Raw genomic sequence first — 17,849 nt, 5'->3', positions numbered from 1 at the left:
CTTGGTTTTCAAAGCAGAATGCAATACCAGGAAAGAGGGGATCAAGAATCAAGTGGCTTAGATAAGATGATTTTATCATTTTTTTCAAGCATGTCTTTTTGTACCTTGTTGTTGATAATTTACCTAGGAAGCATGTTATTGACCCAAAACTTCTTCCCAGAATATTTTTCTGAAAATGTTGCTCTTTACATTAAGGAGAAAAATATTAAAGTTATATTCTTCAAACATTTTACATTCATACAACAAGGTGAACTGATTACAGGCATTTTTGTTTTGTTTTATGGCTACCACACAACCACTATCACTGTTCCTAAGAATGGTAACATAAGGTACTGTGCTCTGCCACCAACAGAAGAAGAGAAAATTTGTAACCCTGGAGACTTCTTCCATCAAAACTACATAATTCTTCTCACTGCAAAGATACAGTAAAGAATGAGTGGGCAAGTAATCAAACTAAGTTTAACCAATCAACCCTCTCTCTTCAGAAATTGAATCATTAGAGGAGTGACTAAGACAAGAGAAAATTTGGAATTTGTTTATTCATCTTAGCAATGTAGAAACAACCTAACAATCAGTGCCACTGAGTCTCTACAGCTTCCTTTTCATATCTGTTTCAAGTTTAGTTCTTTAGCCCTCATTTAAACCCTCTGAGCTACCTCATGTGCACCCATTAAATATATTTTAGCTTAATTTTGCCAAAGTCACCTGGTAGTGCTTGCAACCAAAGTACTTGCAATCTGAGACAGAGTGCTTCGGAGAATTAAAAAAAAAAACTTAAAAATGAATTGTTGTATGGTACTTTCAATCAAAGAGCCAGGCATGGGTTTTGATTCTGGAGGAAATTTTTCCTTCTCCTTTATGGATTATTGACCGATGACAGCTAGGCGAGCTTGAGCTGATGTGCTCACCAATCCATGGCTTTCATAAACATAAGTGCAACTGATGATGATGATGGAGGTGGGCGTTTAATGGTGATTTAAATGGTCATTTAATGGCCAAACAGGTACAACTCTTGTCATCAAAAGGAAAATTTGTTTGTGTCTCACATCTGTCACCTTGAAATTTATCCAGTAGGGCCATAGAATGAAAACTGTAGATAGATCCATAATTTTTTTCTTGCTATTTGATAATAAACAGTCCAATGACACCTAGAGTCATAAAACATAATCAACTTAGGGTGATCAATATAATGCAATAATCAAAACTCTGAACATTATTTACAATTAAATATTATTTCCTCCCCTGGCAGGGGTCAACATCGAGCAGGCTACCCATTGCTTGGGAGGTTAGTTTCATGATCTTTTCCTTTCCTAACTCTGGTAGCAACCATGTTGCCTCAGCCATTCATGATGTTTTCCACCTGAGTGCACATGGGAGAACTGCATTTCTTGGCCCCTTTGTCACTGGGTGCAACTGTGTCAATAATTGTAGCCAATGACCTGCAAGTAGGAAGTGGCATAAGTCACTTTTGTAACAGAATATATAATGGTTGATAAAGAACCCTCCAAAAATCTCTCCTTTGGACTGGGGGAACAGCTACATTCAAGAGAGTTATTCACCTGGGTCTCTTCTGAGAAGGCACTCCCTTCCTATCCTCACTTCGCATTCCATTAACCACAAGGAAATGTAATAGCAACAAAAAATAAACTGTTCTACTAAATTACTGATATTTTGGGCTGTGTCATTACACAAGGACAATGTAACCTCTCCTGACTAGAAATATGTGGCACTGGTTTAGGGACCACATAGCAAGCAATAGAGAAACTGCTATTAGACCCTGTAAAATGTCAGTTGAGTTAATAACTTAAAAGATATTTACTTAATGAATTTGTAGCTTGAAGGGAAAAGGTTAAAAAACAAAATATTACCAGTGTGTTTTTGTTGTTGTTGGCTGAGTTGTTGGCTGAGTTTGGCAACTTACTGCAAGGAGGAGGGTCTGTCAGGAAATAATTTGCTGCTTTTAGAACAGGAACAAGAAATCAGGAGAGTCCTGAAATTTGGGAACTTTCAGAGCTGAAAAATGAAAATGCAACCACTTTTCATCAGCTACTAGAAAAAAATTAAACTGAGAAAGTCTTTGAGGAAACAATGACAATTAAAATTTAATTTTGTAGCAAGAATCAAATCAATAGTATAGTCCTCACATGCATTGCTAAAACCACAAAATAAATTTAACTAGATTTAGGACAAAGACCCAGTTGAAAATGTGGTGCCAAATGGCTTTGAATTGGACAACATGGCTCAGAGATATAAGATCAATGTGTGACTTTCCCAAATGACACAGGAATTTTCTCCCAGCCTCTATAAAAGACTTGCAGCAGGGGTACCCCGTCTACTCTGCCTGCCATGCTCAGCCCCTTGTGGGAGGGAGCGCCCGAGTGAGTGAGTGCAGGATCCGGCCAGCCACTCCAAGCACCGACAAAGGTTCAAGCTACCTGCGGGGCTCACAGCCAGACCAGGCATGTCACCTCAAGGGGAATGTGGCAGCACCCAGGCAAGGGTACCCACAACCCTGAAGCCCCAGCAGGGTGTTAGTGTGTTCATTAGCTCTTTTAATTGTGCTGTCCACCGCCCAATGGACATGGTGTGTTCACAGCTCAATCGGCCCCTGGCCCCATTGCGTGGGGCAGCTGCCCTCTGCTGGCAAGGGCAAAAGGGCAATGGGACAGCCTTTTGGGGTACCCACACTCAGTGGGTCCTGAGCTCTCGTCTGGCGCCCAAGAAGAATGAAGATATGCTGACAATTGAAGAGTGAGCAAGGCAGAGTTTTATTGAGTGATGAAACAGCTTTCTGCGGAGAAGGGATGCGGGGGTGGTCTCCCTACCCAAAGACTGAAAAGATCCCCCAGTGTGGCTGAGTCCCGGGCAGTCCTGGACACCTATGGGCTCAGAATAGAGGAAGGGCAGGCCATAGGTGGTACTGGAAAAGGCAACATTCAATTGGTTAAGAGGCCTTATTCAGAAAGAATCAATAGGGAAAGGGGAAGTAAACAGGAACAGAAGTTCTCACTCTGGGTCGCGGGCTTCATCTGGGACCAGCAGTCCAGTCTTTCAGCCTTCAGGCTGTTTTTTGAGCTTGAAGGAGTTTCACCAGGGACCCGCCCCTATCTGCTTAGGCGTTTGTCTGCCTCCTGCTGCTATCACATAGATGTATGAAAAGCTCAAAATGCCGACAGTTAATTCTAGAGAAAGAAATAATCAAGAGTAGAAAAAAGCATAGAAATACAGCAAATCTGCTGGGCATGGTGGCTCACGCCTGTAATCCCAGCACTTTGGGAGGCCAAGGCGGGTGGATCACGAGGTCAACAGTTGGAGACCAGCCTGACCAACATGGTGAAATCCCGTCTCTACTAAAAATAGAAAACTTAGCCAGGCTTGGTGAGCGTGCCTGTAATCCCAGCTACTCAGGAGGCTGAGGCAGGGGAATTGCTTGAACCCAGGAGGTGGAGGTTACAGTGAGCTGAGATCGCACCACTGCCCTCCAGCCTGGGCAACAGAGTGAAACTCCATGTAAAAAAAAAAAAAAAAGAAAGAAAGAAAAGAAATATAGCAAATCTTAGAGATATATCTAGAGGAGAACTGAGGATATGGCCATTGCAACATGGAAATGACTGATACCAAATTGATTACGTTCTCATGTCCAGAAATTTCCTAAGTCATTTGGAAATTACTACTACAAAAAAAACCATCAGCCTTGTTTAAAACAAATTGTGAACGCTTAAGACTGAAAATGACCTTTGGGTCTCCCACCACATGTTGGCAAGTTACATGCTTCAAAATCTGCTTAACTCCGAGAAGTATTCTTTGTTATCAAAGAATACTGTAAAAGACACAGGTCAGATACCACACAGGTATCTATCACAGAGAACACTAAGGGTTTCTTAGTGGGAATGGGGGTACAAAATTAGGGCCTAAACTATTCCCCATCATCAGGAAAAGGGAGCGTTTAAAGTATGTTTGTAAGTCTGCTATCGGCCAGACATTTTACAAACAGGATTGTTTCCTGTGGTTATTTTGTCCCTGTTTCATTGTTGTATTTTGTCTGTGTGGGTAGCAGAGAACTTGTCCTTTTTTTCATTGGCCTCAAAGTCAAGAGGAAACATATCAGACCTGATACTGAGACTATTAGTCATCCCCCAGCAGTTTTAGAATTAGATAAGGCTTTGAGGTTGTATCTGTGAGGAAGAGGGTAGCATGTTTTGACTGTGAAAGAGAGAGTATATAAATTTTTAATTTTGGCCAAAGGGCAGGTTATGGCAGTTGTTAGTGATGTTTATCAACTGTTTCTCACTCTCAATCTTCTGTATATAAGGTGGCATTGCTCTTCCTGGAATACAGTGATTGGCTGGACCACAGGGCTAGTTCTGGACAGGTTGTGAGTGATAAAGTGTTGGCATTTAATTGTTAATGTGAGATCCTCCTGAGTCTCTTTTCTGTGTAATCTGAAATGTTTATGTAGGTACAGCTTCACTGATCTATGTTTCCAAGTACTGTAATAAGCAGAGACTTCCTGTTGACTTGCAAAGGGCATATGACATAAATGAAAAATTAAACTTTTTGTTTTAATCCAAGAAGATTTAAGATTTGTTTGTTGTTGCAACTCACCTAATCTGACTGATACATGGGGTTTTTGGCTCCTTGGAATTGAAACAGAGAAAAGGAAGAGGGAAAGAAGTATGTAAACTTATTATTTGACCATTGTAATTACAGAATTTTACAGCCTCTGAGCATGGCTACTGTTTAATTCTGATTTTTTCCTTTGGGGGCATTTTGGGAGATTCTTTAGAAATGCCCTGATGTACTCCTGTTACCCTCGTACTTTTGCCTTGGGTGGCTGCTTTTGCATCCACGTCAGCTTCAGGTTTCCTCTAGGGCCTACCTACACAGACTTTCCTTGTTGGGCACCCAACATTCTAACAGAAGGCATTTTGGAAAGATCCCATTTAATAAATACCTGCATTCTCACTGGGTTTTGCACAACTCATCTCTGGAGGTATTGCACTTTCCTCCACCATTGCCAGGTTAATCTCTTGCTCCCTAATGCATCAGTAGCTCCCTCTACACTGTGGCCTCGGGCTGTTCCATCCTTTGGATACTTCATACATGCACAGATAACCCTACCAACATTTTTCCACAATTCCTGGGGCACCAGCCAAGCTTTCAGAATTGTCTTCTTGAAGGGAGTGCACACAAGAATTGACATTAGAAGTGAACACCTCAACCTGTCCCTTAAAGAGGAATGAGTGAGAGTCAAATCACTTCAGCAACTATATCACAATAAATCTCTTCAAAAGAATCTCTTCCTTTAGCCCTTTTATTGTCTCCTTTGAATTTTAGAGCTGCCCAAGGAGTATTTTTTGGCATACTTTGAAACCATTCATACCTTTCTTTGGGAATTCTTTATCTATTCTATCTATCTATCTATCTATCTATCTATGTATCTATTATAATTGACATCTAAGTTGAAATTTTAATTTACTATTTCCTCAAATAATAATAGTAGTATCTATCCTTTATTGATCACTTAGAATGTGCTAAACACTACACCAAACATTTTACTTTATATCTGTTATCTCTTTTAAGCCTCATAGGATCTTTAAGAAGCTGGATTATTATTTCAAATTTTAGATGATAGCCCTGAGGCTTGAAGAAGTTTTGTATTCAATTGCTAAGTGATTTTGTTGTCATTGTTGTTGTTGAGCTATATACTACATTAACTACTATTAAGTGGCATGTATATTAGTTGATGGAAAGAAATATAGGGAAACAATTTGCCACATTTCTGTATGGGTTTCTATATACTTTGGATATGATTTTAAAAGAAAATAGTAAACTTAAAATTATCCAAAGTGCTTATGCTTAACCCTATTTTACAAAAGTTTAAACATGGTTTCACTATAGGGGTGAAGATCTATCAGCATATTTTACTTCTATTTTTTCTTGTACTGCTCTGAAATGGAGGACATGATATATCCATATTGAGAAATATCTATTGCAAAACTAAATGTTTTATCTCACTTTTAATTTTCTGGCAGAAGATTTTCAAAGCATATATACAAATATTCTCTATGTTTTCTCTATTTTGAAAACAGCTTGAAACCTTCACATTTCAAGGGAGACTTCTCCTCAGATTTCTTCTTGCCACCACCTACACTTCTTTTCTTCTCTTGTTCTTTTCAAGCTTGTTCTGTTCATTATCTTGTTACAATTCTTTGCTGTTAGTCAAGAGGCTCTCTTATGGCACCTGTCATCCCCAATCAAACTTGAGAGCAGCACAGTAAGGGATTTCACAGGATTAAACTTCTCTTTTGAATATGTGAACACTTTGGTATTAATCATTGATCTTGCAGTTAGTATGACTGCAGGCCAGCTGGCTTCCTCACTGAGCTACTTCATCAAGTACATGCTAACTGACACTTGAGAAAGCTCTGAACTTTATAAATGTGTGCCTTTAAGTCTTAAGCTGCCACTTAGCCCTGCAATGAGCAATCATGCCCATTTCTCTATACACACAACTTCAGCAGAGCTATTCTGAAGCAGCAAGCAGTATCCTTGAAGTTAAAGGATAACTGGCAAATATGTAGAGGAATAAATGTCTTCCATAATATTTGCTCTGAAAACTGCTTTAAAATAGTTTGGTTGGATCTATTGCTGGCTAAGTAGAGCTCCTTTTTGTTTGTCTAGTTTTTTATTAATTTTTTAAAAAACATTGTATTTTAAAAAGTAAAGACTTCTCTTTTCTTTCCTATTTTATTCTTAAGACCTACACAATGCAGCAATTCACTTTAAAAGAATTTGATGTATTCCAAAGTATGCCAATATTTACATTGGTTTAAGTAATTTTTACTATCAAAATTTGAGTTCAGTTAAATGACATATTTTTCAGAAAGATACATGAATATATGGCACAAAATTAACAGGTAATATTTGCATTTTATTTTTAAATTAGTTGCTTCATCTTTTGAAGAGACATTCAAGGTCATAGCCCTAAGAAAGCTTTTCCGTATGTGATTGTGCTTCCATCTGTGCCTTGGAGACCACAGAAAAGGATCTGATCTCAGATTTCAATTCAAACAGCATTCTGAGCACCTCACCCTAACTTCTCTAAACCAAATGAACCCAGTCAAAGATGTTAAGAGATAAGCATATCTGTTTTCATTTTACGTAGATTGCTTTTAAGTTTAAAGATGAACTGATGAAAATTTTATTTCAAATTTTACACACATAAACACACACACACACACACACACCACACACACAAATGAGCAATGCAAGGAAGGAGTATGCGAAACACATCCTTGGCATTTATGGTTACCCAGAACTACAGAAAGAAAAAAGATTTTATAGAGTATATAGAGACAAACAACTTGGAATTGAAGGAAACTGGTGGAAGGCTAGAATCAGGGAAAGAAGGGAAGCTTAGAAAAAAAAATCAAAATTTCTTTCCCATCCTCAGAGAAAGCTGTCTTGTTTAAAACACTGTTAGGAACGCTGTTATGCTATCAAAAAAAGTTGGCTTAGTATAAGAACATGGACCTTTCATGACCTACTCACCTTAATTTGTTGTTAAAATAAACAACTTTTATCCCATAAAAAGTGCTAATTTTTATTTTCCGTATGACTATAAGATTTTCTGGATTTCATTGAAAATTTCAAATCTTGGTAAAATGTAAGCCATCAAAAATGTATTTAAAAGTTATAAAATTTTCTTGAGAGCTGTTTTCTTTGTGTTTTCTAATTCATATTCTCTTGCTGTTATGAAGAACACATAATGTAACCTTTGAAAAGGCTGAATGTTTGTACAGATACACCATGAGAGACTTATAAGGATCTACATTTTAGTGACAGTGAGTCTAAAACTTGACAGTGATTTGTATTAGAATAAAAAAGACAAAAGGCTAATGAGAGCACTGAGAAGAAGAAAAGTATAGCAAGGATTACTGGCCACAAAAATCAGTGTAATAGTCTATACTGAAGTCCAAAACGTGGCAAAGAATAGGGATATTTCAGTCAACTCCTGTAGGCTTTTAGTAATAACATATTTACCCAGGATCCATAATATCAAATCTATAAAAAGAATAGCAATAAAAATAGCATTATTTTTTCCTTATAGTTATACATAGAGTTGACAGTGCAATTTGGTAGTACTTGATGTTCATAGTTTTCTTCCAAAAGAAATGTTTGCTAAAATGCAATGTGTGTCCTTGACTAAATATTTCAAAATAGTTCTAGACAAAACAATAAATACCGTCTGCCATCATTGCTTACATTTAAGGAACATATTGTATTACCTTGAATAGGGTGTCTTGGAAAAGAAAGGGAAACTAAAAACAAAATGGCTCTCCAATTGAAAAGTATATACAAAATTTCCTTGAAATTGCATTGCTTGTTACCAAGAAATGTTGCAGGCTTATCAGAAAGATAGAATGTACAGAATCTGTGCCAGCATTTGGGTTTTAGGGATTCACTGTTCATTACAGCAAGTCATTAAGTATCAACTACAACAAAGCCATCTGTCTCGTTGTATCTCTTTATACCAGAAAATTTGATGGTAGCAATAATAGACTTCAAAACAACTGCAGTAACTAAAGAAGATTAAGCTCATAAGATTGAAAAACAAAAAGGGAAGGCATTTATTCATGCATTCAACATATATGCATCAGAGCCCAGAATGCAGCACTATTCTAAGCACTGGAAATTCAACAGTAAACAAAATAGACAAATAGCCCTACCTTGAAGGGGCGTACAGTGGAGGAGGGAGACAAGAAACAGGATAAATACGTAAAATATATAGTTTTTAAAAAAATAGACATCATTTTAGCACTCTTTGTCAAAGGCTTGTTGACTGTATTTATGTGGGTTTATTTCTGGACTCTATTCCATTCTATTTATTTATTTGTCTATTCTTTTGCCAATACCACACTGTCTTGATTGCCATAGCTTTATAGTAAGCCTTGAAGTTGAGTAGTGTCCGTCTTCCAACTTTGTTCTTTTTGAATGTTGTGCTAGATCTTCTGGTTTTGTTTTTGTTTTTGAGACAGAGTCTTGCTCTGTCACCCAGGCTGGAGTGCAGCAGCACAATCTCTGCTCACCGCAACATCTGCCTCCTGGGTTCAAGTGATTCTCCTGCCTCAGCCTCCCGAGTAGGTAGGACTACAGGCATGTGCCACCACACTCGGCTAATTTTTTGTATTTTTAGTAGAGACGGGGTTTCACCATGTTAGCCAGGATGGTCTCAATCTCCTGACCTCATGATCCACCAGCCTCAGCCTCCCAAAGTGCTGGGATTACAGGCATGAGCCACCACGCCTAGCCAATCTTCTGGATTTTTTTAACCTCTCCATGTAAAATATAAAATTAGTTTGTCAATAGTCACAAAAATTGTGATTCTCTGTATTTGCTTTTCTGTCTTTCCAATTTTGGGGACAATGGTTTGCCCTATAACCTCACTTCTCTTACAGACCTAAGAAGAGTTGTTGATTTTGTAAGTTGTCCAGCATTTTGTTGTTAGGATGGAACGGCAACCTCTAAACTTTTTATATGCCATACCAAAATTGGCAGTACTTCAGTTAATATACAACTTTTTAGATAATGATAAATGTTAAGAAGGAGGAGAATAGGCAACGTGTTTGGAGAATACAAGCTTAATATGTTAGACAGAGTGGTCTGAGGACACCTTACTGAGTAAAGACCTGCATAAAAGGAGAACGGAAGTCATGTAGACATCTGAGGAAGGACTTCAAACTGAGCAAGTGTAAAGCGAGGAGGCCAGGTCAACTGTGACAGAGTGAGTAAGGGAGAGGATACTAGGAGGTAAGGTAACAGGCAATGACCAGCCACACATGTATGACTTTACAGATCCTTCTAAGGGCTTTTGGATAGGTTTGTGTTGGGAGGATTTTAAGCAGAGGAATGACATGTCTTTTGTTTTTTGTTTTTGTTTTTTCTATTTCAGCTACATCACTCTGGATCCTGTGTTGAGAGTAAGCAATAGGAGGAAAAGAGAAGGTGAAGGGAACTAGTTAGAAAGTGTCTCAGAAAACTGCCTTTTAGCTTTCCAGAAGCACCTTCCACCCTTTTCACCCTTTCTCTGCCCTAGGAAGCAAACCTGTATGCACTACATTAGCAGCTTTCAGGAGAACCTGGGAGAACAGAGGGAGGCAGCAGAGTGAGGTCAGAGTTTATTTCCTTTGCTTTACCCCATGAGTTTGCCTATGGCAGGTTATACTACTTAATAAAAGGTCAGTGACACTTTCAAATCTGCTAAATTTATTCAACTCTGTAACCTGGGTTTGTCACATTCTTCTCATTGGTATTAATTTCCTGGGCTGTCATAACACAATGCCACAAACTGAGTGACTTAAATAACAGAAAGTTATTGTCCCACAATTCTGGAGGCCAGAAGTCTGAAATCAAAGTATCAACAGGGATAGTTCCTTCTGAAGGCTCTGGAGGAAATGTGTTCCATGCTTCTTTCCTAGGTTCCTTATAGCCTCAGCTGTTTCTTGGCTTGTAGCTTCCTTGGTTCTTTGTGTGTTGAATTTTCTTCCTTCTGTACATATCTATCTTGTTCAAATTTCTGCTTTTCATAAAGGCACCAGTCATATTAAAGTGGAGCCCACCCTAAAAGAAACCTTAACTTAATCATCTTCCAAGACCCTACTTTCAAATAAGGTCACATTCACAAGTATCCAGGCCCAGAAATGAAAAGAGTCTCGCTGTCACTACTTCCAGTTCCAGTCTCTTTATACTCATACTGATATGGTTTGGCTGTGTCCCCACCCAAATCTCATCTTTAGTTGTAGATCCCACAATCCCCAAATGTTGTGGAAGGGACCTGGTGGGAGGTAATTGAATCATGGAGGCAGTTGCCCCCATGGCATTCTCATGATAGTGAGTGAGTTGTCCCAAGATCCGATGGTTTTATAAGTGGCTTTTCCCCCTTTCCTAGGCATTTCTCCTTCCTGCTGCCTTGTGAAGAAGATGCCTTGCTTCCCTTTTGCCTTCTACCATGATTGTAAGTTTCCTGAGGCAACCCCAGCCATGCTGAGCTGTGAATCAATTAAACCTCTTCCCTTTATAAATTACCCAGTCTTGAGTATGTCTATATTAGCAGCATGAGAATAGACTACTACACATACCTTTATAAAATGTCTTCATAAATAAACTTTCTAATTAACATATTTTAGTATGTTATCTGTTTACTTTTGGGAGACTAATTAATTAAAAGTCTATTACAATAATCTAAAAGACAAACAATGGCAGCATGCTCCAGAATGCTGGCAATAACAGTGATGAGATGTGGTCACCATTCTGGATATAATTTTAAAGATGAGTGTATTGTATTAGGGTTTTCCAGAGATATAGAACCAATAGAATAGGTAGATATAAATAGATTGATAGAAACATAAATATAGATATTTTATCTATAACATAGATATAGACATTTTTATCTATATATACATATGTTCACAGATATATTGATAGCCTGATATATAGAATATGTATACATACATATATAAAGAGGACATCTATATATACAAATCCAGATATATTTAAAGAAGAATATAGGGTTTGACAGCAGAAGCTAAGTCCATGATTGTTGAACTGAGTACCTGGAAGAATGATGCTGTTGATTACTGAGCTGGAGAAGGCTGTGAGAGAAGCAGACTGGGGAGAAGTATGATATCAGCTCTCATCTTTGACTATGTGAATTTAGAGATTCTCGTTAGTAACTAAGAGCATACGTCTTGGATACATGTGTTTGAAGTTTAAGGAGAGTTCTAACTGCTGTTGAACATTTGGGAATCATCAGTGTATAGATAACATTTAAAGTTATCAGTCTGGTTGAAAATCAGAAAAGATTTAAGCATAGAGAGAAAAGAGATTCAGAAATCTAACTCAGGACTGCAAAGTTCTTAGGTCAGGTGTATAGATACAAATATAGATATAGGTATCTATATGTATAGCTAATATATGGACACAAATATTTGTATATATATAGATAGAGAAAGAAACAAAAAGAAACAGAGAGAGAGATTTATTATGAGAATTGGCTCACATGATTATGGAGGCCAGGGAGTTCCACAATCTTCCTTCTGCAAGCTGGCAAACCAATAAAGACGATGGAAATTCAGTTAAGTCTGAGGGCCTGTGAACCTTGAGACCAGAGGGTGTAACTCCCAATCTGAGTCTGAAAGTATGAACACAGAGTTGCAGAGTTCCTGGGATAAGTCTTGAAGACTAAAGGCCAGAGAATCTAGAGCTTTGATGTCCAAACTCAGGAGATGATGGAAGCTCTAGCTCAAGTAAAGAGAAAGAATTCATCCTTCATCTGCCTTTTTGTCCTATTCTGGCTGTCAGGCCTCTGAGCCCAAGCTAAGCCATCATATCCCACATGACCTGCACGTATACATCCAGATGGCCTGAAGTAACTGAAGAATCACAAAAGAAGTGAAAATGGTCTGTTTCTGCCTTAACTGATGACATTCCACCACAAAAGAAGTGAAAAATGGCCGGTTCCTGACTTAACTGATGATATTACCTTGTGAAATTCCTTCTCCTGGCTCATCCTGCCTCAAAAGCTCCCCCACTGAGCACCTTGTGGCCCCTGCCCCTGCCCACCAGAAAACAACGCTCTTTGACTGTAATTTTCCACTACCCACCCAAATCTTATAAAACGGCCCCACCCCTATCTCCCTTCACTGACTCTCTTTTCGGACTCAGCCTGACTGCACCCAGGTGAAATAAACAGCTTTACTGCTCACACAAAGCCTGTTTGGTGGTCTCTTCACACGGACGTGAGTGAAACTGGCCATTCACAGATTGGGTGATGTCCACCCACACTGGCGAGGTGGTGGAACTTCCTTACTCAGTCTACCCATTCAAATGCCAATCTCTTCTGAAAACACCCACACAAACACACCCAGAAATAATTTTTTGCCAGATAACTGTGCATGCCTTAGTCCAGTCAAGTTGACACATAAATTGGACCATCACAGTGAGGTAACAAAATTTTCTCAATAATTGAATATAGGGTTTGACAGCAGAAGCTAAGTCCATGATTGTTGAACTGAGTACCTGGAAGAATGATGCTGTTGATTACTGAGCTGGAGAAGGCTGTGAGAGAAGCCGACTGGGGAGAAGTATAATATCAGCTCTCATCTTTGACAATGTGAATTTAGAGATTCTCGTTAATAACTAAGAGCATACGTCTTGGATACATGTGTTTGAAGTTTAAGGAGAGTTCTAACTGTTGTTGAACATTTGGGAATGATCAGTGTATAGATAACATTTAAAGTTATCAGTCTGGTTGAAAATTGGAAAAGATTTAAGCATAGACAGAAAAGAGATTCAGAGATCTAAGACTGCAAAGTTCTTAGGTCAGGGAAAAGAGTAGCAACCAATACAACTGACTGAGAAGGAGCAGCCATAGAAGTATACGGAGAACTAGGAGGTTTAGGAGTCAGAAAGGAAGTGGAAAGGTGTTTCAGGAAAGACGGTGTTCAACTCTATCAAATGTCTGCAGTGGTTCAGATACAATGAGTTCTGGGAATTGAACACTGGATTTAATTAAAGTTTATGGAAATGTGAACCCTGACTATTGGAGACAGGTCTCAGTTAATTTAGAAAATTTATTTTGCCAAGGTTGAGAACATGTGCCTGTGACACAGACTCAGGAGATCCTGATGACATGTGCCCAAGGTTGTAGGCGAACAGTTTGGTTTTACACATTTGAGGGAGACATGAGACGACATCAATCAATATATGTAAAATGTATGTTGGTTCTGTGCAAAGAGTTGGGACAACTCAAATCAAAGGCAGGACAACTTGAAGCAGGAAGGGGGCTTCCAGGTCACAGGTAAGTGAGAGACAAACTGTTGCATTATTTTGAGTTTCTGATTACCCTTTTCAAAGGAGGCAATCAGATATGCATTTATCTCAGTGAGCAGAGGGATGACTTTGAATAGAATGGGAGGCAGGTTTGCCCTAAGCAGTTCCCATCTTGACTTTTCTCTTTAGCTTAGTGATCTGGGGCCCCAAGATTTATTTTCCTTTCACAGAAATAAGCCAGAGCTAGAAACAGGTAACACAGATTAAGTCTTGTGCACAGCTTGGCCTATAAGTTATGCTACTTGAAAACTACGGAAGTGATGTGAGAAGGGTTGAAATAACTGTGTCACGTGCAGTTTACAAGAGATACCTGTTACTGTCAAGTTCAATTTATGTTATTTAAAAGTTATTTATTTACTTTACTTAGCAGTAGTTTATCCTAGGGAGTGGAATTGGCTGGAGGGTAAAAGGAGTTTAACTATACTATTTTTACAAAGGTCTATATCGTTGAGAAGTGTTATAAGAAAATTGTGTAATTAAAAATAAAAATATTTTTGTAATTAAAAGTAAAAATAGCACATTCAGAAGTTTACATGGGGGAAGAGGGAATCAACTTCCAGCCTGACAGTATAAGGAAGTCTGCCAACCCACTCCCTGGTGAAACTGGGGAAAATTATTTTTAAAACAACTATCTAATCTTACTTCTGATTAAATCCTATGGGAATAATTCTTAAGGCAAATAGAAAATGAGAAACAATGGTAGCATGATCCAGAATGCTGGCAATAGTAGTGATGAGATGTGGTCATTTCTGGATATAATTTTGAAGATGAGTGTATTATATTAGGTTCTTCAGAGAAAAAGAACCAATAGGATAGATAGATTAGATAGATTGATAGAAACACAGATATATAGATAAAAATATCTATATCTATCTATATATACACATATGTACACAGATATATTGATAGCTATGTACATATGTATATGTAGCTAGAAATAATATCTATAATTAGATATTATCTAATTATCTAATTATAGATATATCTAATTATATATAATATATATCTATAATTATATAATTAAATATTATATAATTATTATAGATATTATATATAATATACAGATATTATAAATATCTATAATTAGATATTATCTAATATCTAATTATAGATAATTAGATAGTTATAGATAATTAGATAATATCTAATTATAGATATCATTTATATCTACCTAATAAAATCTGTGGAAATGTGGTAAGGATGGCAAGCATCTGGTAGTTGACCAAGACCTCTCTCTCCTTCCGAAACAGGAAATTTTCCCTGACCCCATCATAGGTCTCCCAACAGGAATATCTTGCTACTCAGCCCGCAGCTCTCAGCTCCTTGCAGAAGGGGAAGCACACAGGTGAGTTTCATGCACTTCCCTGTGAAGAGACCACCAAACAGGCTTTGTGTGAGCAACATGGCTGTTTATTTCACCTGGATGCAGGCGGGCTGAGTCAGAAAAGAGAGTCAGCGAAGGGAGATGGGGTGGGGCTGTTTTATAGGATTTGGGTAGGTAAAGGAAAATTACAGTCAAAGGGGGGTTGTTCTCTGGAGGGCAGAGTGGGGGTCACAAGGTGCTCAGTAGGGGAGCTTTTGAGCCAGATGAGCCAGGAGAAGGAATTTCACAAGACAATGTCATCAGTTAAGGCAGGAACAGGCCATTTTCACTTATTTTGTGGTGGAATGTCATCAGTTAAGGCAGGAACCGGCCATCTGGATGTGTACGTGCAGGTCACAGGGGATATGACGGCTTAGCTTGGGCTCAGAGGCCTGACATTCCTGTCTTCTTATATTAATAAGAAAAATAAAATGAAATACTGGTAAAGTGTTGGGACAGTGAAAATTTTGGGGGGTGGTATGGAGAGATAATGGGCGCTGTTTCTCAGGGCTGCTTCAAGCGGAATTAGGGGCGGGTGGGAACCTAGAGTGGGAGAGGCTAAGCTGAAGGATGATTTTGTGGTAAGGGGTGATATTGTGGGACTGTTAGAAGAAACATTTGTCATTTAGAATTATTGGTGATGGCCTGGATATGGTTTTGTATGAATTGAAGAACTAAACGGAATAAGAGAAGGAGAAAAACAGGTATTAAAGGTCTAAGAATTGGGAGGACCTAGGACATCTAATTAGAGTGCCTAAGGAAATTCAGCATAGTCCTGTCAGCAAAGATTATTTATTTACTTCAAGAGTTAAGAGTGGCAGTTTGGGGATAGCACCAGGAGATATCAGCTGTGATGGCTTGGAGAAACAGTATAAACTGGCAGTGTAAACAAGAGCAGGGCATGTATGAATAGTTGAGAATGGTGAATAGGAGTATGACTAGACAGAAGATAGTAGGGATGACAAGTTTTTTGGGGTCACAGTCTAAGTTAGTCTGGTGTCTGGAATGAGACTGGGGCCTAATAAAAAGGAGCATCTATACAGGAGCTTAAATGGGCTGTACCCTGTAGCATTCTGAGGACAGGTCTGACTTCTGAGAAGGGCAAGTGGTAAAAGTATTGTCCAGTGTTTTTTAAGTTGGTGGCTGAGCTTGGTGAGGTGTGTTTTTAAAAGACCTTTAGTCCGTTCTACTTTTCCTGAAGATGGAGGACCATAAGGGATATAAAGGTTTCACTGAATACTAAGAGCCTGAAAAACTTCTTGGCTGATTTGACTCATAAAGGCTGGTCTGTTATCAGACTGTATGGAGGTGGGAAGGCTAAACTGAAGAATTATGTCTGACAGAAGGGAAGAAATGACTGTGGTGGCCTTCTCAGACCCTGTAGGAAAGGCCTGTACCTATCCAGTGAAAGTGTCTACCTAGACTAAGAGGTATTTTAGTTATCTGACTCGGGGCATGTTGAGTAAAGCTAATTTGCCAGTCCTGGGTGGGGGCAAATCCTCGAGCTTGATGTGTAGGGAAGGGATGGGGCCTGAATAATCCCTGAGGAGTAGTAGAATAGCAGATGGAACACTGAGAAGTTATTTCCTTGAGGATAGATTTACACGATGGAAAGAAAATGAGAGGTTCTAAGAGGCAGGCTAGTGGCTTGTACTATAGGATAGCCTGCCTTTGCTGGTGTGTGGCGATTAGGCCTGGTGGAACTGCCATCAATAAATCAAGCGTGATCAGGGTGAGGAATAGGAAAGAAGGAAATATGGGGAAATGAGGTGAATGTCAGGTGGATCAGAGAGATACGGTCATGGGGGTCAGGTGTGGTATCAGGAATAATGTGGGAGGCCAGACTGAAGTCCGGGCCAGGAACAATGGTAATTGTGGGACTTAACAAAGAGTGAGTACAGCTGAAGGAGCCGGGGAGCAGAAAGTATATGCGTCAGGTGTGAGGAAGAAAATAGATTTTGGAAGTTATGAGAAATGTAGAGAGTAAGTTGAGCATAGTTTGTGATTTTGAGGGCCTTTAAAAGTATTAGGGCAGCGGCAGCTGCTGCACGGAGACATGAGGGCTAGGCTAAAACAGTAAGGTCAAGTTGTTTGGACAGAAAGGCTACAGGATGTGGTCCTGGCTCTTGTGTAAGAATTCTGACCGCACTAACCATGCCTAGGAAGGAAAGGAGTTGTTGTTTTGTAAGGGATTGAGGTTTGGAAGATTAATCAGACACGATCAGCAGGGAGAGCACCTGTGTTTTTATGAGACTTATGCTGAGATAGGTAACAGATAAGGAAGAAATTTGGGCTTGACTGAAGTAATGGGGACTGTCTGTGAAGCTTTGCGGCAGTACAGCCCAGGTAATTTGCCAAGCCTGATGGGTGTCAGGGTCAGTCCAAGTGAAAGCGAAGAGAGACTGGGATGACAGGTGCAAAGGAATAGTAAAGAAAGCGTGTTTGAGATCCAGAACAGAATAATGGATTGTGGAGGGAAGTATTGAGGATAGGAGAGTATATGGGTTTGGCACCATGGGGTGGATAGGCAAAACAATTTTGTTGATAAGGCATAGATCCTGAACTAACTTGTAAGACTTGTCTGGTTTTAGGA

At 39.0% G+C, this 17,849-nt stretch overlaps 1 annotated feature.

The window, feature by feature from the left end:
- Positions 15,218-15,762: an enhancer, noted in NCBI's record as "OCT4-NANOG hESC enhancer chr5:103372498-103373042 (GRCh37/hg19 assembly coordinates)". NCBI's record gives its function as "activates a minimal SCP1, AML or CMV promoter by ChIP-STARR-seq in primed H9 embryonic stem cells {active_cell/tissue: H9 hESC(primed)}" and the evidence as "EXISTENCE:reporter gene assay evidence [ECO:0000049][PMID:30033119]".

This window comes from Homo sapiens, chromosome 5 (assembly GCF_000001405.40).
Source record: "Homo sapiens chromosome 5, GRCh38.p14 Primary Assembly".
NCBI classification, from domain to species: Eukaryota; Metazoa; Chordata; class Mammalia; order Primates; family Hominidae; genus Homo; species Homo sapiens.
Note: the sequence above shows the minus strand (reverse complement) of the source record. Positions and strands in the feature narration are given on the sequence as shown.